At 39.9% G+C, this 26,372-nt stretch overlaps 1 protein-coding gene across 16 annotated transcripts in view; it reads right to left on the reverse strand.

The window, feature by feature from the left end:
- Positions 1 to 26,372, reverse strand: part of DLC1 (DLC1 Rho GTPase activating protein) — a 521,260-nt gene that overhangs the window by 173,129 nt on the left and 321,759 nt on the right. For 8 of the 16 annotated variants that reach the window (NM_001413128.1, NM_001413131.1, NM_001413129.1 and 5 more), the window contains exon 1: positions 19,773 to 20,032. The exons of 5 other annotated variants lie outside the window; for them this stretch is intronic. Coding sequence is in view for 5 of the 11 variants with exons in the window: in NM_001413129.1 (NP_001400058.1) it covers positions 19,773 to 19,911 (139 nt within the window). In the remaining 6 variants the exon portion in view is untranslated. Of the gene's footprint in view, positions 1 to 19,772; positions 20,033 to 20,117; positions 20,296 to 26,372 lie in introns of those variants that run through there. 3 more of the 16 variants (NM_001413126.1, NM_001413127.1, NM_001348083.1) reach the window with 2 other exon arrangements.

Below are 26,372 nucleotides of genomic sequence, written 5' to 3' on the forward strand. Positions count from 1 at the left end.
GACTGGATAAAGAAAATGTGGCACATATACACCATGGAATATACTATGCAGCCATAAAAAGGAATGAGTTCATGTCCTTTGCAGGGACATGAATGAAGCTGGAAACCATCATTCTCAGCAAACTAACACAGGAACAGAAAACCAAACACTGCATATTCTCACTCATAAGTGGGAGTTGAACAATGAGAACACATGGACACAGGGAGGGGAACATCACACACTGGGGCCTGTTGGCGGGTGGGGGCAAGGGAAGGGAGAGCATTAAGACAAATACCTAAGGCATGCAGATCTTAAACCCTAGATGATGGGTTGATGGGTGCAGCAAACCACCATGGCACGTGTATACCTATGTAACAAACCTGTAAGTTCTGCACATGTATCCCAGAACTTAAAAAAAAAAAAAAAAAAAAGGCAGAGGCAGGATCTTGGGAGATACGCAGAACTGCCTTGGAGTAATTGTAACTACCAGTACATACTATTAGTGTGCTGAGTGAAGGCTATTCTTTATATGCATTTTGCAGCCTCTGACCCTCTTTTTTATTTGCAATCTGTGCACTGTCTTGTTTTTATTGGAAGATATGATCGAGACCAAGTTCCACCCTAAACTTCTGTAGCACTGCAATCAGGATGCCACAAATAGTTGTCCATGGTGGTCATGACTTGTGTCACAAAATCATGTTCTTTACTAGAATTTCACACAGTTCCCGGGACTACATATGCTTATCATAAAAAAAAAAGGCATTTGAAACCAACCTGGGCAACATAATGAGACCCTGTCTCTACAAAAAAGTTAAAAAATCAGCTGAGCAAGGTGGTGCATACCTGTAGTCCTAGCTACTCAGGAGGCTGATTTAGGTGGATCACTTGAGCCCCAGGGTTCAAGACTACAGTGAGCCATGATCATACCACTGCACAGTAGCCTGGGTGACAGAGCAATACCCTGTCTCAGGAAAAAAAAAAAAAAAAAAAGCAACAATTCTGACATGTGCATTGAACAAGTGAATATCACTATAGCTATTGGTAGAGATGATCTTGACCAATATAATCTATTTTATACGTGTCAGTCATCATGAGAATGTATGAGCTGATTAAAATGCAGATTCTCGACTAATAAAATGTTTGCTGTATTCAACATTAAAAATTATTTAGTGGAATTTCCTGATTACATCAAGAGTGCTAACTCTACTCAGAATATGATGTTGACTTTGTTTATGTCAACTACGGAAAAGAAGAAAAAAAAAAAAACCATAAACACAATAAAGTCTGTGGGAAACCAGCATGCTGAAGGTAGAATGTTCTAATCCTAACCAGCTGTCCTTGCTGGAGTGCATGGGAACTTCATAGCAATCTCTCTCTCTGTCTCATAACATCTTTAGTCAGGAGCAAGCTTTGTATGCATTTTATCAAAGCAATGAAAAAGCTGTTTTCTAGCTAGAAAAGTGCCTAGGAAATTATAAGCGGGAAGTCATCAAAAGCCAACTTGAAATAAAATACATGTAAGTACCAACAGCGGACTTCTCCAAGGCTATAAAGTAGCAAGGAGCCACAATTAAGTAACTACTTAAACACAGCAAGTTTCAATCCTTGTAGTGTTTTAGAGTGGCTGCTATCTCAACTTGAATCACCCAGCAAATCACAAGTGCAAGGGTAAGAGAAACAAAACATTCCAGTCCCTGAAGATTAACAGTCTAAGCGTCACACTCGGAACTCTTCAGATCTTTCAAATACCCCCTCCTTCACATTCTTCTTTAGGGACTGACAAATTGTAAATCCTCGACTTCACTAAGGAAACTGCGGCTTTACTCTGAATCTCTTGAAGTAATAGATCAACAGAATACAGAGAAGTACAGGAAAGTAATCATATTTTTACTATTTGTTTAAGAATAGGCTCTGAAAAACATAGGAAGATAGGAGAGAATTTAGATTTTTGTTTCTAAAAATAGTTACCCATATATATTCCCATTTACTTATAATATCTGCTTCCTGATTTTCACTTAAACCCTCTAAGGTTACAAGAACACAATGGACTTTGGATTGGGGGGAATTAAGCTCACATCCACATTTAAGTTCTTACTGGTCATGTGACTTTTAACCAGTTACCTATTATTTTGAGCTTGAGTTTTCTCTTTTGTAATTGCGGAAGATGAAATCTGCTGTAAGTTGGTTGTTGCAGTACTTCAAAGTATCAATGGCCTATGTAGCCTGTGGAACATAGTATGTCCTACATGAAGATTAGTTTCTATCTTTCTATTTCATTTCCTGTTTGTACGGGGGTCTGTTATTTCTCATATGGGTGGGAGACTGTCTGGAGCTAGACTCTAGAATACTCAATTTCATTTTCAAGTAAGAAAACAGAGAGAAAATTAGGCCGGGCGCGGTGGCTCACGCCTGTAATCCCAGCACTTTGGGAGGCCGAGGCGGGTGGATCACGAGGTCAGGAGATCGAGACCATCCTGGCTAACACGGTGAAACCCCATCTCTACTAAAAATACAAAAAATTAGCCGTGCGTGGTGGCGGGCGCCTGTACTCCCAGCTACTCTGGAGGCTGAGGCAGGAGAATGGCGTGAACCCGGGAGGCGGAGGTTGCAGTGAGCCGAGATCACACCATTGCACTCCAGCCTGGGCAACGCAGTGAAACTCCGTCTCAAGAAAAAAAAAAAAAAAAAAAAGAGAAAATCAAAAGATTAAAAATTACAATTATGAAATACCCACTCCATCACTCCAGTGGCACCTGACATGAAAAATAAATGCAAAAGGACTTGGCCGCCCCAAGGCCATCCAACACAATAAATTATAAATGCAAAATTTCCCACAGACTATCCAGTGCTGTGAATCATAATGAACCACAGTGATTTGAATTTTAATCACTTAAAATTTTACACGATCTTAATTTTACAGATTTTACAAAAACACCCGGACAGAGTGCTAAGGCTCCCTTAGGGCCTTGGAAGAGTCAATGCAAATGATAGATCCTGAAAGTTCATCAGCTGTATGATAAATCCACCTGTCTATGGGGTGTGAGGAAGAAGAGCTTTATTATTAACATTTTTTTTTACAATAAAGATACTACAGTCTTTTATATTTTCACAGCTTCTCCAAATCTGTCTTATTTCCTTCATTTCTTTTCCACCTGCCCTACTTAAATTGTAGGCTTGGTTCTTCTGAGAAATGTAGACTTGTTTCATCTGAGAAAGCAATAGAAATGTTGGCTTATTTGAACTGGTGTGTGTTATGCAGCCTGAAAAAAAACAACACTGGTAGCTATGAGGGTGCATACCAGCACTATATACAAGTACAACAGATGGGTTTTTTTTTTTCTGTTTAAGTGTATTCCTATCTACTTAGGTGAAGAAGGCTAAAATATGAAATAGCAGCCAAAAATAGAAATAAAAATAAGCATGTAATTACAAACTTAAAAAAATCAGTAAGTGCTATAAGACTTCAGATGAAATGGACATCAGTAAAGGTTGAGATTGTTCTAGACATTACAAGAGCAGGAGAAATGAAAAGCAGAAGGAATTTGGATGAAGGGGATCATGGTACATTTGTTAAAGAAAACACACAAACAGCAGAGGAGGAATGAACACAGTGCTTTAGCGGAACAGCAAGGAGACAGGAATGGCTAAATAGAACCTTTCCAGATAACAGAAAATCTTCCCAAGCAGGTAGAGGTGCTTTGGTTTGATATGCCTGGAAATTGCATGATCTTGATCGTTTCTGAGCAAAAACAGTGAAACAGTGAAGAGGGCAGTGGAATGAATGATGGATTGAAGTGGAAGATGTTAAGGTCATAGAGACAAGCTCAGAAGATCCTAACTTTAGGTAAGAATGATGGCAGTTTGTGCCTTCACAGTGGTTGTAGAACTAAAAAGGAAAGGCAGACGCAGAGACACACAGAAGGTGGACAGGACAGGATTTTGTGATTAACTTCACATGAGGCATGAAGGAGAGGTAAGGCCACCTGTAGAAGATGAATGGATAGGAAAGAATAGATAATGAAGTTAATTGTGGAGATAATGAAGTTAATTCCATTTTAATGTGAAGTTGCATGATACCCATCTACTGGAAAATGTCCAATAGACAGTTGGAAATATAGAAATAGAGTTTAAAGGTGAGGATAGGACAAGATAGGAGGAAAGAAAAAGAAAGGAAGGAAGAAATATCCAACTGATGCTGGAAGGATAAAAGTGTAACTATTATATCATTTATATATATGGTACTTTGAGTTTCAGCAATTAGCAACATAGAAGAAAGAACATAATTTAGAGATAGCTTAAGAAAAAAATGTATGTGATACATAAGGGAGGGGTAACTGATTCAAATAGCTTCTGGGTATTTTGATTGATTCAGAAAAAATGTGAGATAGATGCTTTGCCTCAAATTCCCAATATCTATTTTATCTTTTAGTTGGTTCTCTAGAAGGTGTGCTTGCATAATTTACCATATAATGTTAATATATGTATTCTTGCATTTGGCAATCTGTGTGTATGCCTTTTGGTTTATATACATGTCCGTTGATTAAGTCATTCAACAAAGACTAATGTGTCAGGCACGTTTCTAAGCACTAGGAATATGAAGATGCACAATTACTAAGTTCCTGGCCTCACAGGGGAACTTACATTCTGAAAGGACAGAGAGACACTAAACAAACACATGTAACATGCCAGAAGTGGATCGCAATTGGTTCAGAGGAGAATGCCATTTTAATAGAGTGGTCCTGACTGGCCTCTCAGTAGAGGTAACATTTCAGCAGAGACCTGGACAAAGTAAGGGAGAGAGCCATGTGACTGTCTGGGAAAAGAATTTTTCAAGATGAGGGAACAGCAATTGTCATGAACAGCAAAGAGGCCAGAGTGTATAGAATGGGAAAGGATAGAAGAAGGTGAAGTGGGAAGAGTAGGTAGGCCCCAGGTCAGGCAGAGACTTCTTGGCCATAGAAGGGATTTTATTGTGTGAGGGAAAGATATTGGAGGGTTTTGAGTTGAGGAGTGACAGGATATAGTTTATGTTTATAAATATCACTCTGGTCGTCATGTTTGGAATGAATTACAGGAGGTGGGGCAAGGGTGGAGGTGGGGAGGCCAGTTGAGGAGTGACTGTAAGAACACAGGTGCGAGGCAACCGTGTCTTGGCCCAGGGTGGTGGCAGTGAGGGTGGTGCCAAGTGGTCAGCGTCTAGATGCATTTGCAGGTACAGATGATAGGATTGGCTGATGGAAGAAATGTAGGGTATGAAAGAAGAGAGGAGACAAAACTAACTGCTGTGAATGGAGATGAAAAAGACAAGTTTTGTTGGAAAGACAAAAAGCTCAATTTTTGACATGTTATGTGATTTGGAGCAAGATACTTAAACTTTCAGGACATGTTTCAGCATTTGTAAAACAAGGATGATAACAGAATCTACTTCACAGAGTTATTAAGCATTAAATAATAATTCAGGAAAAGCTCTAAGCATTGAATGTGTCTAATAGGTGTTTAGCTTAGATATGAAGAAGTTGAGGCAAAATGTCAATCTCACCTTCTTTCTGAGTCTCAAAAAAATCAGCTTAAAAACCCTTGTTATATTTTCTTCTTTGACCCCTCTCTTGGGGTAAGAGTGCTACTGTGTAGTAAGGGACAGTGTGAGTTCTAAATGTCACATTATGGTGTGTGCTAAAAATAAAATAATTTCTGTATTGGTTGTGACTGAATATGTAAATGAAGGACACAAATGGGGTAATTATTAGAGAGAAGTTCTAACTGAACTTAGGAGACTTAAAAAAAAGATAGGGGTTTATATTTTGAAGAAGAGAACAATTTTAAAGACTTGCTCAAGGGGAACATATTTCATAAGAAATGATAAAAGCCATTAAAATTAGGAGGAAAATTGATAATCACGTGATCCTAAGGAAAACTCTCAATTTTTTTTTTTTTACGAAGTTTGACTTGTGTCCTTCTGGACTTGACATTCTAAAGCAATGATACATGGACAACTTAGTAAAATGAAAAGAGGTCATTTAACTAAGAAAATCTCAAATTCACCAATATTGCCAGGAAACTATGTGGAGTTGATTGAACCATATTTTTATCTTTTGTTTATTTTTATTTAGAGATGAGGCCTTGTCCTGGCACTCAGGCAGGAGTGCAGTGGCACAATCATAACTCACTTGCAGCCTTGAGCTCCTGGGCTCAAGTGATCTTCCTGCCTCGGCCTCCCAAGGTGCTGGGATTACAGGCATGAGCCACTGCGCCTGGATCATGAACCACCATTTTTAAGATAACATTCAAACATAATGAAGTGTATTGCTCCTAACTTACCAATATGATCAGAAGAAAGACTACTTGATGGATGACGAATGCAAGTACAGAGGTCATCATCTCCACAGGCAGTAGTTTGAACTTCAAAACAGAATAACCATCACTAGTTATGAATCTCTCTTAGTAGATGCTGAGATAGAGACACTGGATTTTAACATGCATATCATTCTAAGACATGATGGTTTGCTTATAGAAGACATTTTAAAAATGAAGTGTTACTAGTGCATTTAATAGAGTAGAATAAAAATATATATTCTATGTTGATTTTGGCAAATTAATGCTTCCTCCACTTGATAATTTATCCAATATTTGGGGAAAGGATTGCTTTTTCAATGACATTCAAGTAGTGGGTCCCTACAGCAGGTTTGTCCACTTGTTCAAGGGAATCTTTGGTCTCCGTGGAAGCCTGCAAGAGTTTTTTGGGAGGGAGGAAATATTGTGTTAGGTATTATTATCAGTGTTACTTAATATAAGTTACTGTGAAGTGGTTATCTCTGAATTACATTTTTTTCTTTTTCTAATTCTCAGATGGTCGCTCTTTCCATTTCCTATCCTCAGCACCTACCTCAGCTGTGTTTATACCCAAGTAATGAACTTTATGTTATTATCATCTTTAAATAGACACTTAGTTACATTTTAGCTTGATCTGTATAAGAAACCACAGTAAGATAAGAGAAATATTACTTATTACTTACTTGTGTTTCATTTCAAACTTTATTCATCAGTCTTTGCTGAATTCAGTTAGTAATTCAAAAACTATTCGTCATATATTTATATATGATATATAATACAAATTTATATCTGTACATATGTGTTTATAAATATATATGTGCATGTATATATAAATTTATATGTATATATAATAGATAAAAATATGTAAACTTGACTTTGTTAATATCTTATTCATACCATTTTTATTTTTATGTTTTTTTAAAGAAAATGTTCTACCACTTTTACAGCATTTGAAAAATTATTTTTTCTATAATGATTAGCATTCTAATATACCATTGGTGGATGTGTAATATATGTTGAACTTTGGCCATATAAGATGTACATATCTTAGACTATGAAATTCCATCTTTAGATGAGTTACTCTACCACAGAAAAATTTCTACCCATGTGCGCACAGAGACATTGACAATAATATTCATAACAGCAAATACTTATGTAAGCACATAGTTGGAAACAACATAGATGCCTTTCAACAGGATAATGAATAAGTAAATTAGGGCATATTTGTATGACAGCAATAAGAATAAGAAGCTTTTTATTTATTTATTTATTTATTTATTTATTTATTGAGACAGAGTCTTGCTCTGTCACCCAGGCTGGAGTGCAGTAGCACCATCTTGGCTCACTGCAACCTCTCCCTCCCGGGTTCAAGCGATTCTGCTACCTCAGCCTCCCGAGTAGATGGGATTACAGGCAGCAGTCACCATACCTGGCTAATTTTTTTTTGTATTTTTAGTAGAGACAGGGTTTCACCATGTTGCCCAGGCTGGTGTCGAACTCCTGACCTCAGGTCATCCACCTACCTCGGCCTCCCACAGTGCTGGGATTACGGGTGTCAGCTACTGTGCCCAGCCCAGAATAAGGAACTTTATGTTCAAACACGAATAATATCAAAAATATAATTCTGAGCAAAGACAGCTGCAGAAAGATATTTGCAGTATGGTGCCACTTAAAACTTTTAAATGTGCAAAATAATATTGTTTGGGGACACTTAAATGTGTAACGAGTATAAAGCCAGTATGAGAGTGATTAAACTCTAAGTTCAGGACTGGAGAACTTCAGGGGGAGCGGGAGAGGAGGGAAGGAGGGAAATATGACCCAGGAGGGGCACACACGGGGCTGTAACAGCAACTGCAATGTTTTATTACTTAAGTTAGTGGTAGATACATGAGAATCTTGGATGTTTAAAATATTTAGTAAAATAATCTTGGTATTAGTTAATTGATAAACCATCTAAAGATATTTTTTGAGAAAAGATTTTTGGGAAGCAAAGATAACAATTCCAAGTGTTAACCAAATGATATTGAAACAAAAAACAATGAGTATGTTATGAAAACAGCAACTTAAGCCACATGAGACACTGGGATTACATGTCCCGGGATACAACTGCATGGCCCATTAACTACAGCAACATCACCTTCACTTTACAAAAGCAATTAGTACATACTTCAGTCTTCAAAGTGAACAGAGATTACCTACTCTTCAAAAGTTATTAAAAGCACTTGGCTTCTGACCTTCAGAGCTCAATTTGTACAAGGGTATGGGTCAGCTTTTTCCTATAGTAATAAAAGTTGTCAAATGCTATTTTCCTAAGCTCCATTTAAACACAGAGACATTACTTAATGTGGTTTAAAAACATAGACTTTATTTTGAGACAAGGGGATAGCTTAAATTATGGTCTTTTATTAATTCACTGAAATATTTTTAAGTTTGAATAGGGAGAGAAATATGGAACAGGGCGAAGAAAGCATTTACACACAAGGACAAATTATACATTATGAGCTGACTACACTCAATATCTTACTTTAAATAAAAAATGGTAAAGAAAAATAGTAGGCAATCACAAAAGAAGTTTGAGAGTGGGAGTATGTGTGGGTAGGTGGTAGAGATTAATGAGCATGGAAGGCCGCGAAGGTTCACTCAGAAAATACTTTATGCAGCAAAGTGGGAGTCATGCTCAGGGTCACAGAAATAAAAACATTTTCTGTGAACTGGCCTCACAAGAATGAGAGCTCGGAATGTGTGTGGTAGTGGCTGAGAAAGTGGGTGTCCAGTTTTGATCCATTTGTCATAGTCTCCAAGACAGCATGAGGCCGTTTACCATCATCTTCCTGCAAATGTCCTTCATAGGCTGTGGGTTTTTTTTCCTTCCCTTCTTCCTTCTCTTCTTCCTTCCTTCCTCTCCTCTCCTCTTCTCTCCCCTCTCCTCCCCTCCCCTTCCCTCCTTTCCTTTCCTCCCTCCCTCATTCCTTCCTTCCTTGTTAAATGTTTTAATTTAAATTAATTTTTCCATCTTCCAGTTTATTAACACTTGGCTATGATATGCTAATCCTTCGGGTATGCACAGGGTGGTTGGTCACAGAATGTTGTTATTGTCTAAAATAGTGCAAAGGGCATTTACAATGGATTTTCAGGCACTGCTTTGACATAATTATTCTGCTGTTTACCCTCTATGTTTATCTTCAGTTGTGCAATGATTATGCGGAGCCAAAGAGCTTTGCTGGAAACATAGTCTTAAGTTCTAAGTCATCAATTTATACACATAATCACTGAAGGACTAAAGGAAACTTTTCTCTGTCTTCCTTTCTTTCTTTAGCAAACAAAAAAAGGAAGAAAAAAAATACTAAGCAGTAACTCTTGTACATAAATTGGAATTAATTGCTGAATGCATATTTTATAAACTTATGATATTCTAATTATAAAATTTCCAGTGTTAGTGCCATGACATAGATGTGTGTTCCATCTACAAGGGAAGCATTCTGGGTTGTGATGTTATCATCCACATTCTCTTACCTGGTACTCATGGCTCTGGGCATGTTTTGTATGTTGTTTGGTTGGAGGGGCTTGGTAGCCCCAACATAAAGAAAAAGGCCTAGTTTCTCCCTTTGTCTCAGGAGCACATTACTCTATCCTGGGAAGTTCTGGCTGTTAAGAAAGCTCTTTGGGTTGGGCGTGGTGGTTCACACCTGTAATTCCAGCACTTTGGGAGGCTGAGGCAGGAGGATCATTTGAGGTCAGGAGTTCGAGACCAGCCTGGCCAACATGGTGAAACCCCATCTCTACTAAAAATACAAAAATAAGCTGGATATGGTGGCAGGTGCCTGTAGTCCCAGCTACTCGGGAGGCTGAGGCACAAGAATCACTTGAATCTGGAAGGCAGAAGTTGCTGTGAGCTGAGATCCTGCCACTGCACTCCAGCCTGGGCAATAGAGAAAGACTTAGTATTAAAAAAACAAAACAAAACAAAACAAAAAAAGAGAAAGCCCTTTGCATGGTTCTAATACAACAAAAAACTGTTAGAAACTGAAATAAAATTTAGAAGGCCTGATAATAACATTAGAAGGCCTGATAACTAATGCCCGTGTGCTTTGGGTTTGGCTTCATCGCCAGTCTTCCTCATCTTCATTGGTTTACCAACCCATTTGTCCAGCCATGAGCTGCACATGAGTTGGTCTTCCTCATCTTCATTGGTTTACCAACTCATTTGTCCAGCCACGAGCTACACATGAGTTGACATGCACGTGCTAATTTCATTTGGCTGGAATTCACTAAATGAAATTCTAGCTTCTTGTAACAGCACAAAAGAAAGATGTTTCCAGTGCAGCCTGAAATTACATGTTCAAACTTGTTTTCGTCAGTGAAACATTAGTGTCCAAAGACGGTCTTATCAGAGCTGAAAAACAATATGCTTGATGGCATACTTTTAGACCTGAAATGGGCTTCATTTTGCAAAAAAGTTATATTTTAAATATAGCATATTCTAAAGGTAGATTAGGAATGTTCTTACTCATCTAGTTTAGCTTTTTTTTTTTTCTGCCAGATGTTTATGTTGGTGAGAAACCAATAACACTGTCTAGACCTCTAGGATATAGTAATCAACCATGAATGAAAAACATTCAGAGGTCACACTTCAATCTGGACCTACAACATCCTGCTATTCAAAACTAGATTAGAGATGATGGATCATGATAAACTGAACCACACTGAATGCTGAGTCAGTAATTTGAGAATTGTCTACAAAAAGCTAAATATGTCACCAAAAATCAACCAGATAAAACAAAGTCTAGACACCATAAAATGTACTGTTCCCCCCACTGCATAGTGTCAACAATCAGATGTTATATTATGACTTTTACACCAGCAACCTATAACTCAGGAATCTTCAATCTTTTATAAAGAAAAGTTCTTTGAAGTCATGTGATTCCTGAGGAGTGTGTGTGTGTGTGTGTGTGTGTGTGTGTGTGTGTGTGTGTGCAATTGCCTAGATGTGCTCATTACCTGAGCACATAAAGAAAGAAAGAACCAAGAGAGAAGGGTTACATTATGGTATCAGGGCTTTCAAAAATCACCAACCAGGATTTCACCAAGCAATAATATGCCATGTCTTTTCACTATGTCTTGGTGATTTTGATTGTCTAGAAGTTGATAATTTGTTTTTATTAAGAGTGTTTCTGTTGTTGGCTGAAATTCTGTGGAATCAACAATGACTTAGGACAATGTGTTTCAGTTCTACAGCCCATATGTGCTAAACTCTGAGGGTAATCTATGTGTAAATTGAAATATTTAAAGTATAACTTCCAATTTTAGTTCATTCTGATTTCTAAATCAGTTGAGATCACTCTATCTTAAATAGTGGCATATTTTAGGCTTTAGTACTTTTAAACTTTGAAAACAAGTCAGTATGTCATTTTAAAAAATATGATTAAAAATACAACCTTATAGCACTTTGGAATGACAAGTCTTTTTGTCTTATAAAGAGGAGAATGGCCAGTTCATTAAGGATGATGCACTAACTTGCCTGACTCTGTTTGTTTTAGAGAGAGGCTCATACTGTTGTCCAGGTTGGAGTGCAGTGGCGCGATCTCGGCTCACTGCAAGCTCCGCCTCCCAGGTTCACGCCATTCTCCTGCCTCAGTCTCCCGAGTAGCTGGGACTACAGGCGCGCAGCCTCAAACACCTGGGCTCAAGTAACCCTCCCACCTCAGCTTCCCGAGTATTTGGGGCTACAGGTGCATGCCACCGTAGCTGCCTAATTTTTAAATTATTTGTAATGACGGAGTCTTGCTATGTTGCCCAGGTGTCTTGAACTCATGGCTTCAAGTGATCCTTCCACCTTGGTCTCCAAAAGTGCTGGGATTACAGGTATAAGCCACCTGGCCCAGCCTTGTTTGCAGAGAGAATTTCCCTTGGCTCTATGGGGGCATCCAGAAATTCTGACTTCTTTTTGTGTGTTTATAGGATACTCTTGGCTCCATGAGGGGAAGTGGGGCCTATAAGTATCTTCAGGTAAATTTAAACCCGTGTTTCTCAACCTTTGTACTCATGTTCTACCCCTCCCATCTGTGCTTCCTTCCTTTTTTTTTTTTTTTTTTTTGAGATGGAGTCTCACTCTGTGGCCCAGGCTAGAGTGCAGTGGCGTGATCTCGGCTCACTGCAAGCTCCGCCTCCCGGGTTCACGCCATTCTCCTGCCTCAGCCTCCGAGTAGCTGGGACTAAAGGCACCCGCCACCACGCCTGGCTAATTTTTTGTATTTTTAGTAGAGACGGGGTTTCACTGTGTTAGCCAGAATGGTCTCAATCTCCTGACCTCGTGATCTGCCCGCCTCAGCCTTCCAAAGTGCTGGGATTACAGGTGTGAGCCACCGCTCCCGGCCTCATTCATATTCTAAGAAAGCACATGCCTTGTCTTTGGCTGTGCCTAAGAAGAGTAAAAGCAGTACTATAGTCGTGAGTTTGACAATTATGGGGCTGAATAACTGTTGTTTTCCATGGCTAGGTCTTCATCAATAACTACAGCTTCAGAAATGTTAGTGGTTGTCCTTGAGCTACAGGGAAGAGCACAGAGGGATCAATGGAAATCCATCATCATCACACACAAACAACTCCAGCACATGCCAACTGAATGGCATTTCCTCTTTCTTCAAGAGTGACAAGCTGGGCACAGTGGCTTGTGCCTGTAGTCCCAGCTGGGAGGATCACTTGAGGACAGCAGTTTGAGACCACCCTGGGTGACAGAGCAAGACCCTACCTCTACAAAAATCAAAAAATTAGCCACAACCCTATAGTCCTGGCTGCTGAGGGGAGGCTGAGGCAGGAAGATTGCTGAGTTCAGGAGTTCAAGGCTGCATTGAGCTATGATGATACTACTGCACTCCAACCTGGGAAACAAAGCAAAACTCTGTCAAAAAAAAAAAAAAAAAAAAAAAAGACACATTATAATTAAAACTAAGTAATTAGAATAAGAAATTTAAAAACATGGCCAGGCGCAGTGGCCCGTGCCTGTAATCCCAGCATTTTGGGAGGCTGAAGCAGGCGGATCACGAGGTCGGGAGATCAAGACCATCCTGGCTAACACGGTGAAACCCCGTCTCTACTAAAAATACAAAAAAAAAAAAAAAATTAGGTGGGCATGGTGGCGGGCGCCTGTAGTCCCAGCTACTCAGGAGGAGAATGGTGTGAACCCGGGAGGTGGAGCTTGCAGTGAGCTAAGATCGTGCCACTGCACTCCAGCCTGGGCGACAGAGAGAGACTCCGTCTCAAAAAAAAAAAAAAAAGAAATTAAAAAACTTTCAAGTTTAACTGCCAACTATACCTAAATAATTCATTTGAAATAGAGAACTTCCAGAGGAATGTTCTTTTAAATCCAGTCTTTGCTTTATGAGATAGCCTCAGATCCTTAAGTAGATGTGTGACAAATTAATATGACCCTCCTACCAGGCCTTCGATTTTGGACATATCTAGGTATTGTAATTACAGTGGCCTTTGGTAAAATGTGCAGACTGTGCATGCACACTACTTTAAATAAAGAAAGTCACAGAAGTCTTGTTGCAGAAAGGGAGGTGTGCGAAACATCCCTTTCAAGTGGCAGCCTTGACATTTAGCATATTTTTTCCCATACCACAGCTGAGCCACGTGCTTGAAAGCCCAGGCCTGCTGGTGCTGCTGCTCTTTTCCATGTTTGGCTCCATCTATACAGCAATTTTCAAAGCAGGTCCCAACGTGCTTAGGAAAACTTTCAGATATCGTATATCTAGCTTGACAAGCTCATATGCAAGAACCGATTCCCTCATCAATGTGTGGAATCAGTTATTCTCCAGTCATTTCCTTTTGGAGTTCACAAAGATCAGCACAAAAGTCACCTCCAGTAGATCCTTCTTTGTTTCTCTCCAGAGATACAGAAATCTATTCCATTTGCCATTGACATTTTACCTTTTCTTTTCTTTTTTTTTGGACTGGTTGAACCACTTTTGCCCAAAAGCCCAAAGCCAATTATAGAGGTGTCATGCTAACAAGGTGAAGGCCCTCAGGAAGTAGGGTATCAAGAACTGAAACTGAAGGAATGCTTAGTATATGTCAATGACTCTCTAAGCACTTTGCAGAGTAGCTCATTTAATCCTTAAAACCATTTCATGACGTAGGTGCTGTTATCCTCTTTGTATTGGCAAGGAATGCTGACTTGCCTAATATTACCCAGTGCAAGAACCAGGACTCAGCCACAGGCAGCCTGAGGTTGCAGGTCAACTCTCTAAGCCACTATATAATATATTCTCTCATCAAAGCCACCCTTGACATCAACATGTTCCTCTTTTTATCAAAACAGTATCATTTAACTTAATCTAGATACATGTTCACATTGCAATATCTCACGAAGCTTCCCTAACGGTTGTCTGTCTTTAAAAATCTCCTCTGGTGTTGCCTATGATTGGAAAAGTGTTTGTTTACTAGAGGAGGCTGCATATTTTGAGGCCTACATCACTCATGGTTAAAAGGCATTACATATGCCCTTACTTGCTTTTCACTGTGAACCAAAGGAGCAGAGAACAGTTCACAGGAGTCAATGTTTTTGGTTGCCCTTCCTTGGAAGTGGGCCAGAATTCCCAATGCCCCACTGAAGTGAGAGCCAATGTACCACAGAGTGTGTCCAGCACTCATTTTGCTAGTGAATTGGAGGACTCATCAGCTGCAATGTAAAAATCTATTTTGCAAAAGACATATGATCCTGAACACTCCGCAAAATACCTCAGGGGATTTCAACTTAATGTAGTTACTTGAAGAATTTATTTTATGTCTGTTGACTCTCACTTGCATAGAGGTTTGCCTAAATTTTCTTGCCCTCTTCATAGGCAATTCAGTTTTTTCTTCTTTCTCTTAAATATTTTTGTTTGTTTTTACTTTCCTTTTTAGAAGATGAGGTCTTGCTATGTCATTCAAGCTGGAGTGCAGTGGCATGATCATAGCTCACTGTAACTTTGAACTCCTGGGCTCAAGTGATTCTCCTGACTCAGCTCCTGGGACTACAGATGGTCACCACCACGCCTGGCTAAATTTTTAAATTTTTTGGAGAGACAAGGTCTTGCTCTGTTACCCAGGCTGGTCTTGGGTTCCAGGCCTCAAGCAGTCCTCCTGCTGGGCTTCCAAATTGTTGGGATTACAGGCGTGAGCCACTGTACCCAGGCTCTTAAATGTTTAGCTATGGGAATAATGTGACGTCACATATCTCAATCAGGTGGAGGCATTTAGACTTTTTCCCTTATATGTCATGTTCTCCAAATTGAGAGAAGAAATCCCTTCTTTTAAAAAGTCAATGTCATTGATACTATTTAGTAGGTCTTACTTTATAAGATGTTGTTAAATAAAGACTAGTATTGGCCAGGCCCAGTGGCTCATGCCTGTAATCTCGGCAATTTGCGAGGCCAAAGTGGGTGGATCATTTGAAGTTAGGAGTTCAAGACCAGCCTGGCCAACATGGTGAAACCCTGCCTCTACTAAAAATACAAAAATTAGCCAGGCGAGGTGGTGGTTGCCTGTAATCCCAGCTACTCGAGAGGCTGGGAATCTCTTGAACCAGGGAGGTGGAGGTTGCAGTGAGCGGAGATCATGCCACTGCACTCCAGCCTGGGCGACAGAGTGAAACTCTGTCTCAGCAAACAAACAAACAAACAAACAAAAAAGACTAGTATTTAATTTCTTTCAGCTTATTTCTTTCAGCACAACTTAACGTTTTTAGTTGAGTTAAATTACAACAGTGTGCACACAATACCTTTAAAAATAGCTTTTAACTGGCTGGGTGCGGTGGCTCATGCCTGTAATCCCAGCACTTTGGGAGGCCGAGGCAGTCGGATCACGAGGTCAAGAGATCGAGACCATCCTGGCTAACACGGTGAAACCCCGTCTCTACTAAAAATACAAAAAATAGAAAAAAAAAATTAGCTGGGCGTGGTGGTGGGCGCCTGTAGTCCCAGCTGCTCGGGAGGCTGAGGCAAGAGAATGGCGTCAACCCAGGAGGCAGAGCTTAAAGTGAGCCGAGATCGCGCCACTGCATTCCAACCTGGGTGACAGAGCGAGACTCCGTCTCAAAACAAAAAACAAAACAAACAAACAAAAATAGCTTTTAACTTATACTCACTTCTCCATATTTTAAAGGCATTATCCTTTTATGTAATTCATTCACGGTATACTAGTACATCATAATTTTATGTTTTGAATACTTTGATAACTGTATTTCACTATCATTGGTTTCCTCTATAATTCTATATATTTTATTTATGCATTTAAAAAGATTATTCTGAGAAGTGATCCATAGGTTTCACAGGAATGATAAAGAGATCCGTGGGCACAAAAGCAGGCTACAAGGCCCTCTATGGAAGGATTAAGAGGCAACTGCCCTTCAGGAATGTGATGTGCTCTGCTGACCAGATGTCCATGAATCAAAGGGGAGGGGGTGAGAGCACAGAGGAGCTTTAAGAAGGAAGCACACTTCATCCAGCACAAAGCTGTCCCCTGCATCACTCAACCACTGTCATCCTCAAAGTTCTAGTTCACTGAAAACTCAATACCATCCTCTGCTTTTAGCAAAGAAGACAGAGTACCTTGGGGTTGGGAATAATGGTTGTAGAAGATAGGATTAACAGAAACTCCTGTGGGATGTAACTGGGCAGAAAAAGGGGATCATATATAAAGGGGAATGCAAGTAAGACAATCTGATCTGTCCTTCCTCACAAACTGAAGGCCTTTTCCTGGCAACAATTCTGTATATTGTTTATAAAAGGCTGCAGATGCTTAAAAATAACAGACAGGCTCCCTGTTTCGTGTAGAAGGGAGTTTAAGACAAGGAGATGTAAATGATGCTTTTTGTACATGATATCATTTGGGATAGCAGAACTGTGCCTGTGTGTGTGTGTGTGTGTGTGTGTGTGTGTGTGTGTGTGTGTAAGGGGGAAGGGGGGAGGGAGGGAGACAGGGAGGGAGGGAGCAAGAGAGAGAGAGAGAATGAATAAGAATATACCTAACAAGGAAACTTAAAATGTTATCCCACGACCAAACCCTTTGATTAGGTGAAAGAAACTAAAATCTCAGATTAGTTTTTGAGAAACCTGATGAAAGTCAGGAAGGCAATAATCATCACCGAAATAACATTCTAGCTACTATTAACAGAAGTATTCTCTTCCAGAGACTTAAAAAACACTTTTTACCTGTTACCTCATTAATTTCACAACATAAAGAAAAGGGTTTGGACTTTCTACTGCCCTCCATTCTGCACACGAAGGCAAGGTGGTAGGACATATAACAAAGATTTTCTCTGGTGTTCAGAGAAGTGACTTTTTGTGGATCATTAGCAGCCATTAGTTCATGTTTGGTGAGTGGAAGGGTTGAGTGCAGAGGAGAAGCTTGAGGGAAAGGGATGGAAGCAAGTGCTCTTGAGGTTTGGCTGTGCACCAAGTCAATCTTCATTTGACTAACTGAGCTTCCAGCCATGAGCCAAGAGTGAGGAGGACACCAAAAGTGTCCAGGTCCCCCAAAATCAAAGTCAGTTGTCATAGCCAAAGTCTTTTCCTTTCAAGCATGGTATCTGGATTCTCTACTGTGTGAGTTACTTCAGAGGTCCATACTGCTCTTAGAAACCCTGGGCAACATAAAGAATTATTTCCCGCAATGGACCTAGAGCAGTAAAAATCCTATTTGCTGCTAGAGTTGTGAAAACATTTGATTTTTCATCACACATAAAAATTAACTGTTTTTCTCTAAGTGTTTTCATTAATTTACACTTGCTGTTATGTTTTGACTCCAAACATAGTATTAATATATAACAGACAAATAAGAAGAAAGAGAACAACTTTCCAGGGATAACATTCTTATTCTTAGAGGATATTATTATTCTCATCAGCTGTCAAAGGCTATGTATGAAAATGTAAGAGGAAATCTCAGAAGCATAAATGTTTGAATTAGTCTTACTTTCAAATTAAAACATTAAACCACAACAAGATATTTTTGCATTATCTTTAGTAAGATATTATTTATAGAATCTTTTCATTTGCGGCATTGTTTATTAAACAAGACAAATATGAAGAAAGTACCTTTTCTTTTAAATTGTCAACCAATTATAGTTTTGAATTTTTTACTCCCAAATCTTACATCTTAAACTTCTTCTGGTTAATTGCAAATGAGATCATACACCTTAAAGAGTTAAATAAAAAATCATATTGGAAAGTCGTATTTCTTTAGGGTGCCACATTTTCCTCTAAACAATAATAAAATGGTTAAATTTAAAATATTTTGCTCCCTTCCCTACCTAATGGTTCGACTTGACATTGTTTACTTTCTCCGTCAGTCCTGGGGAATATTGTTTAGTGCAACAGACAGAAAGATTTTCATGTGCATTCAGAACAAATTAGAGTTTATGAGGGCATGAAACTACCATGTTATCTTCACAATCTGCTTTATCACAATCGCACACTTTAAATTTCCCCTCTTCAAGTCATATCAGGACAATTATGTGAAAATCAAAAGACCTTTTATTAAGAACACAGCACAGAACTCTGTATTGACTCTTAGAGGCCACCTCTAATATTTGTAAATTCAGACCTTCCTTCAGTATACGGAAAACAACTGGATTGACCAAAGAGGTTAAGAAAACATAGTCTTTGACCCATCCATGTAGACGGCATAGGAACACAGACTTAGAGAGCAAACAAGAAGGCACCATAAACGCTATTGGGAAACCCTACCCTAATTCGGAGAGTTTTTTCATATCGTAGTGAGATGCTATTTTATCCCAACGCAAAAATCGGACAGAAGTCCCTATCTCCTCACTGGACCCCTGCAAACACAGTCTACCATTTGGTGGCTGTCACATGAGCCCTAGAGCACTTGAATTGCACCACTGTATTTGCTTTATTATATTTCAAACGCCTGCCTCTGGCATACATGACACCGTCTTGGAACCGAGAGTAGCTCCAGGCTGCCAGAGGAAATACCAGCAGGCTTTCACTGGGCAGCGCCCATCACTCCACTGACACACAGACCTGCCAGGCCCCTCTCCTGCACACACGCCAGGGCACCTCACACCTGATCAGCTTCAGCTCCAAAGCTGACCCGAGACAGCCCCGAGGATCTCAGGGCTTTTGCAGCAGTTGTTCATCACTACCGATTTCCTGACAGTCACAAGGACCTTGCTTCTCTTTTGAAGGTTAAAAAACCCCACAACTCTCATAATTCCTTATCTAGAAATAATCAGACCAGTAACCAGAGCGGCGTTACACAAAACAAACACACAAAAATCTCAACACTCCATCAAGGTTAAATACTAGAGAAAGGGAGACCGAACACACTGCCATGACAAGAATGAAACTTCAACCAGCTGATGAGATCATTCATGAACCAAGCTTATCACTGCGTCTTCGCAGTAAATTGTTTTCTTTTTAATACCCCTCACCCCCGGTCTCCAATCCCCCTCTGCCTCTCACCTGCCAGCCGTCTGTCTCTAGTGTTTTTCCAAATGACATCCAGGGCTCTGGCCGTGGAGTCCCTGATGTGATCGCTAAAGGACCTCCGGAGAGGGGCTCGCAGGGGGCGCGCCATCACGTGGGCCTTGGGGTCCCCCATCCGCTCGCAGACGCCTTCAGCGCAGCCCGGGCGCCGCGACCATGCCTCGGTACTCCGCCCCGCGCTGTGCTCCCGGCCGCAGGCTGTCGCCTGCCTTCAGGAGGCCGGCATTGCGGCTGGCACTGCGGCCCCGGGAAGCGCCAACTGCAGGCGGCCTCCTGGCCCGCGGCCAAGCGCGCGCGGCGGCCACATCTGGAAAGACTTACCCTGCGCCGGCGACACCCTCGCGGGGCGCGCGAGCTGCAGCACAGCTATCCGGAGGCGTCTCGCTTCCTGTGCAACCCAATGACTCACCTGGGTCCGCGCCGGGCTGCTCCTGGGTCACATAGCAGGTCTTCCCTTCAGGGGCAGTCCAGGTGACCTCGCGTTTTCAAAGGGAAACGCAGCGCCGCAGGCAAGCACGCAGGGGAGGTGGGAGGGTGGGGCTGGCAGGTGGCCTTGTCTTTAACTTTCAAGGTTGATTCTCAAGAACGTTTGCATTTTAGTGACTCATTTTTATCTCATTAACTCATGGTTTTAGATTAGGCGGTTGATGAGATAGGAAGTTCAACCTTTAGTTGTGGTTGTGGGAAGGAAGATATGGCTGGAAGGAGCACTTTACAGATCAATCTGGATTCCCTCTAAGAAATGGAGACCTGAGAGGCCAGCACTGTGGCTCACGCCTGTTCCCAGCACCTGGAAAGGCTGAGGCTGGAGGATCACTTGAGGCCAGGAGCTTGAGAACAGCTTGGGCAACAAACAAGACCCCACCCCTACAAGAAATTAGGCGGGTGTGGTGGCATGCACCTGTGGTCCCAGCTGCTTGGGAGGCTGAGAGGGAAAAATCGCTTGAGCCCAGGAGTTCCAGGCTGCAGTGACCTGTGGTCACCCCCACTGCTCTCCAGCCTGGGGGACAGAGCAAGACCCTGTCTCTAAAATAAATAAAATAAGGAAATGGACACCTGAGTTTTAAACAAAATACTGATCAGCTCCTCACATTTTCTCTCTAACCATACTTCTACTTACAGTGGTTTAATCAAGTCACTCTAGGTTTTGCCCCTTAAAAAGTTTCAAATATCCCCTGATTTTATGAATCTTCTAGTTCCAAGTAAGTGAACTTCCTCATTACAATTGCACATCAAAAACTCATCCCCCAAAATGTAAAAAAAGTTCCAAGCACTATGAAATCAAAATATGAGCCAACTGCTTCTTTTACAAGATATGCGCCTTAGTTTCTAAAATGCCAAATAAATCTATTTCTACGCCAATAAATTTGGCAGATTTTTTGCCTTTTAAATGCATTATTAATCCTCTTTTTTTTTCTGTCTAGCAAATCTTACCTTATAATGCACAAGGTTTGGCAGGGAAGCTTAATATTGGCATAAGACATCTAAAGGCCAGTTCATAACCTTTGCAAGATGAGATAATGTTGTAAAAACACTTTGTAAATTTCAAGAAGCCATGCAAATGCTAATTATTACCATAATTATTTTTACACACAAAGTCATTTTCAACCCACACTGATCTCCTGAGTCTTCTAATTTCTACAACACGCATTATTTTCACATATATCTTTAACAACTTAATTATACAAAGGATGATTATGAAAATAGTGAGATTGTGCTCATGAATTATAACTAACATTAGTACCAATGCTTATTAATAACCCGTATGTCCTAAACTGTATTGTTCCCAAACTGTTAAAGCTCATGAATGTCCCCCATTGAGCATGTACTTCATGGTAGATATCCACGTCTTTGCCTTATCATTGGACTGGACACAGATTAGGAGAGAATGCATGCTAACTGCTGATGTAGACAGACCTCCGTGCCTGCACGGGCCAATTCCAAATGAAAATCCTCTATTAAAGATTTTCAGAAAATATGATTGCCTAATGCCTGGTTCCATTCTAAAACAATGTCCCCAGAGTTTGTGTGTGTTTCTCCTTCAAAGAGGTCTGGGCACCTTGAAGCGTGTTGAATCATGTCATCTGGACCTGTTTTGCAGAGGAATGGCATGAAGTACCCATGGCATGGGTAGTGCCCTTCACCAGATGCTGTTTTAGGCCTGCGGAACTTTAGGATGAATAAGACCTCAACTCTGTCTTCGAGGAGGAAATATCACATCGACCAAAAGTGATTCCAAAATAATGTGATAAGTTTCAAGGTAGAAGCATGTTCCAATGTTACAGGAACACAAAGGAAAATGCAGCCTGGATTCCTAACTCCTCCTAGGCACTGATCTCACCTGAGTTTCCAGTCTAGATCTATGATAAAGTTAGGGACACACAGTCACTCCCAGCATGAATATCAACAGCTGATTGTCTGAGTCGTGCAAAGTGACTGACTATAATGGTAGGAAGCTTTTCTACACCTAAACACAGAAAGGAAGGGGAGCAGTAAAGGGAAATAAGCATTCATTAAGTCCCTATAATGTATGATAAAGTCGTCTAGTGTTGTATATAGACTAGCAAGTCATCAGAGATCATGTATAGGTATTATTATCACTTTTTTAGAGATGAGGAAACTTGAAGCTTAGAAAGAAAAAATTCGAAAAGCTTACATAGTAAGTGGCAGATCCAGGATTCATACTCGGAGCCGTCTGCCTCAAAAACTCATTAGCTTCCTAATCAACTTGGTTGGTCTTAAATTAATGACCATAGTAACGACAGTGACCCATTAGTGTTATCTAGGCTCAGTCGATACTAAGCTATGAGCTAATGCTCTTTAATCTTAGCCAAAATAAAATAACGAACAGGACCTAGGGTGTGGCAGAATCCTGAGTCTGCAGATAGATTTGAGGTGATCCCGACTATGGAAATTAAAGGCAATGAGCCAAGAGAACCAAGGTCTGGTTCAACACACACTGTTTAACAGTAGAGCACTCAGGTCTAATCACCAAAGTGTTATAAAACAACCCTCCTCCTCTTAGCAACACACTTTCTCTAGGACAATACTTAACAGTTCTTCAGTGAAGCTCATTTCAGTAGGTGTTAGAAACACCTGCCTATTCCTAGTGCAGGTTGCATTAGGTAGAATGACCCACAGACTTCACCTACTTAAGAGGACTTTATGTTTTGTTTGTCTTTTTCAAAGGAAACCTCATGGCATAAATGTAAATTTTCTTGGCAGAGTATTTCAGGAGGGGAAGTGCAGCTAAGCATTTTTGAGCAAGGCAAACTTTAATTATAGGTTTTACCATAGGCCAACGTAGAGCTGACAATTTGGCCTCTCATTTCTGACAACTCATTAAGTCCAAATTTCACTGTGAGGGTATTTCAACCCCTTATGGATAAATCTCAGCTACATTTTATGGGTATAGTGTAAAGACCATTCTAATACACAACCAGTTTTAAATTATTCTTACATTTTGCTTTCTTTGTAGGCCACTAGAAATGATAGACACAGAAAAGGTGCTGCTTAGAATCTGCCACTTAGACAATAATTTCTCAAGTTGTATTTCCACAAACTTCAAACTATCCCAGTTTTCTATGACTCTGAGAGGTGAGAATAGTTTGTGATAATTAGTGTTGTCTCAGCTTAGCAGGTAGAACAAGTGGAAATATGAGTTCATTGGTTTTTCAAGATCCCACTGGGAATCACAAGAAAAGTGAGAATAGGCTGGGTGCGGTGGCTCACACCTGTAATCCCAGCACTTTGGGAGGCCGAGGTGCATGGATCATGAGGTCGGGAGATCGAGACCATCCTGGCTAACACAGTGAAACCCCCGTCTCTACTAAAAATACAAAAAAAAAAAAAATTAGCCGGGCGTGGTGGCAGGTACCTATAGTCCCAGCTACTCAGGAGGCTGAGGCAGGAGAATGGCATGAACCCAGGAGGCGGAGTTTACAGTGAGCCGAGATCGCACCACTGCACTCCAGCCTGGGCAACGGAGAGAGACTCCATCTCAAAAAAAAAAAAAAAAAAAAAAAGAAAAATGAGAATAATGACATTATGCTTTGATAGGTTTGCAGTTTCTTATTTCTGTGATAAAGGGTTAGTTTCAGCCATTGGTGGAGGTGCTGTTTGACCAGGGAAGCTGTGTAAACTCTTCCAGATCCCTGGAGAACAGAGGTTCTAGTCTGTATCCTAAGCTAGAGATTCTGGTTTAAGTAAGTCCCTAATATTTTCCATATAAGAAAATCATCCTGCTTTGGTAATGTATTATTGATTTAATGTAATTTTGTCTGATTTATACATTTTATCTTACTGCAAACAAAATTTTTAATTTTATAGTGTTTCTAGGTTCCATCTTCTCTGATTTAATGTTAGAGACCTCTTCTTTTCCAAGCCTGTGTAACATAAATCCACTTTGGTCTTATGGCCACTGTTGCTGATGAAAATCATTTAAGACTTCTTTGGACCAATGAGAACATTTAGGACTACCTAAAGTGCTGGAAGATCCTTTCAAAAGAATGTGAATAATGATGGGAAATGAAAAGCTTATTAAGAGTTAATACCGTGTTTGGATCTGGGTCTTTGGCATAGAAAGAAAATGATTATAACCCCATTGGTTAAGTCCTATGAGTGATCCAGCCCCTGAAACGGGATGGCAGGCTTAGTGCATGGCAGTGCCTATCCCAGCATAATATATCTCCCTAAAATGCTGTAACTCCACAGAAGATCTTCTCCACTGTGTAGGTATCCAATAGTCCATGACAAGGAGTATTCGTAGAATGAAGACTCTGTAACTCTGAAGGATGTCTAAATGGTTTCTGTTCATTGTGATAACTGGCATCTAGCGTGTATGTTATATGCCATGGAGGACTGTTTTTGTTTTGAAATGTTTAGTTAATATAATCATCTTTAGTGCATTTGCTCTGGCAACTGGCAATTTTACTTGTTAATCTGCTTCTACATTTGGAACCCTAAGGATCCACTGAATTTGGGTGAGAATCTTCTTTGTGATAAACTCTATGAAATGTTCTTGACCAAAGGGTCAAATCAAGGTGGCTTGCACTATTAGGTGTATATTGATGTTTGATAGACCAAAAAACTACAATGATGATTTTCTTCAAATTGATTAGCTCTGACCTGGGGACAAACAAAATTATTCTTGGAAGGCAGGGAGAAAATCTTGGAATCTATATCTGTATCTACGCATATAGTTCTTTAAATATTTCCATTTTTGTATAATGTACAAAGCACATAAGTACCATGATTTATAGATATAATTTATACATAAATAAATATATACACTGGGGTTCTATGCTTAGAAAGCTTTACTGACAGGCCTGGTGATCAAGGTTCAGAGACTTGCTCTACAACTTCTGATATATACCAAAATCACACTATCTTTCAGAGTAAAATCAACTTGTTGGAGGGCATAGTGTTGAATATATCTATATGGGAAGAGGCTGCAATAAAACAAGAAGTGAATGTTAGGGAAGAGAGAAGGACTTCCTTTTCTTCTTGAGTCATGTAACATTATCTTATTTCCTTTTGACTGCTGAATTTCAGTAACTATTTATGCTTTCTGAAGCTAAGATCTCTACCTGAGCTACAAAAAGTCACCTTGCCTGTGAAAAAGAAGACTTAATTTCAATTCTGCGCCTTGCCAGACAGCTTTGTGATCTTGGGACAGCATTTTGTTTTCTCATTTGCTAATGAGGATATAGACTAGATCATTTATTCTGGTTGAGATTCGAGGGTGGGAGAAGTGGATATCAGAATTACATAGGGTGGGGACTCGTCCCTCCTGTTAGAGTGGACAGAAAAGTTTCAACAACTCTACTGGGCTAGATGGTCTCATTCCACTTCAGAAAAATACCTCACCAGAATTCTAGCTATTAGTATATATAATTGGCCATTTTAATGCTTTCGTCAAGCTATTTTCAAGTTGCTTTGAACATCTCTCTCTGGAGCTGTTTGTTTGGGTTTAATCCTCTCGATCATTTCTTTTCCACTCTCTGCAGTTGACTACAGTTTTTGAGGTGAAAATATTTAGCAGAGAGGTAGGAAATAAAACATACTGGAAAAAGGAAAGAGGATGTAGAGATGCCCTCAGGAACTTTTTTCTATGTCATGATTTCAGGTTTTCTTTTATGTTGTAATTTCAAAAGGTTAAACATTTGCAATTTCTATAGAAAAATCAACAATAATGGTACACCAAAAATAATGTAAAAAATCTATAACTTATATTACCTTAGCAAGAACAGAATATCTAATAGTAAAATAATTTTAGATACAGTTAAAACTTCAGGGGGAAATAATTTCCTTTATTTTGTTCTTCATTTTATTTTATTCCTATTATATTTTAATTCTTTCTTTTATCCTTTCATTTTTCACCATGTAAAATTACAGTGTGTTAGTAAAGAAGCTCAGCATTACAGCATAGAACCAGAGTTACAATTTCTCTGCTCACTCAGATTTAAAGTATATTATGATTACTTGAACTGCTTTAAAATTGTGGTTATTGCAATTCATACTAGCTGTTTTATGTGTCTTTTTGATGAGACTGAAATAAAAATACTAACCCCTTGC

This window comes from Homo sapiens, chromosome 8 (genome assembly GCF_000001405.40).
Source record: "Homo sapiens chromosome 8, GRCh38.p14 Primary Assembly".
NCBI lineage: Eukaryota > Metazoa > Chordata > Mammalia > Primates > Hominidae > Homo > Homo sapiens.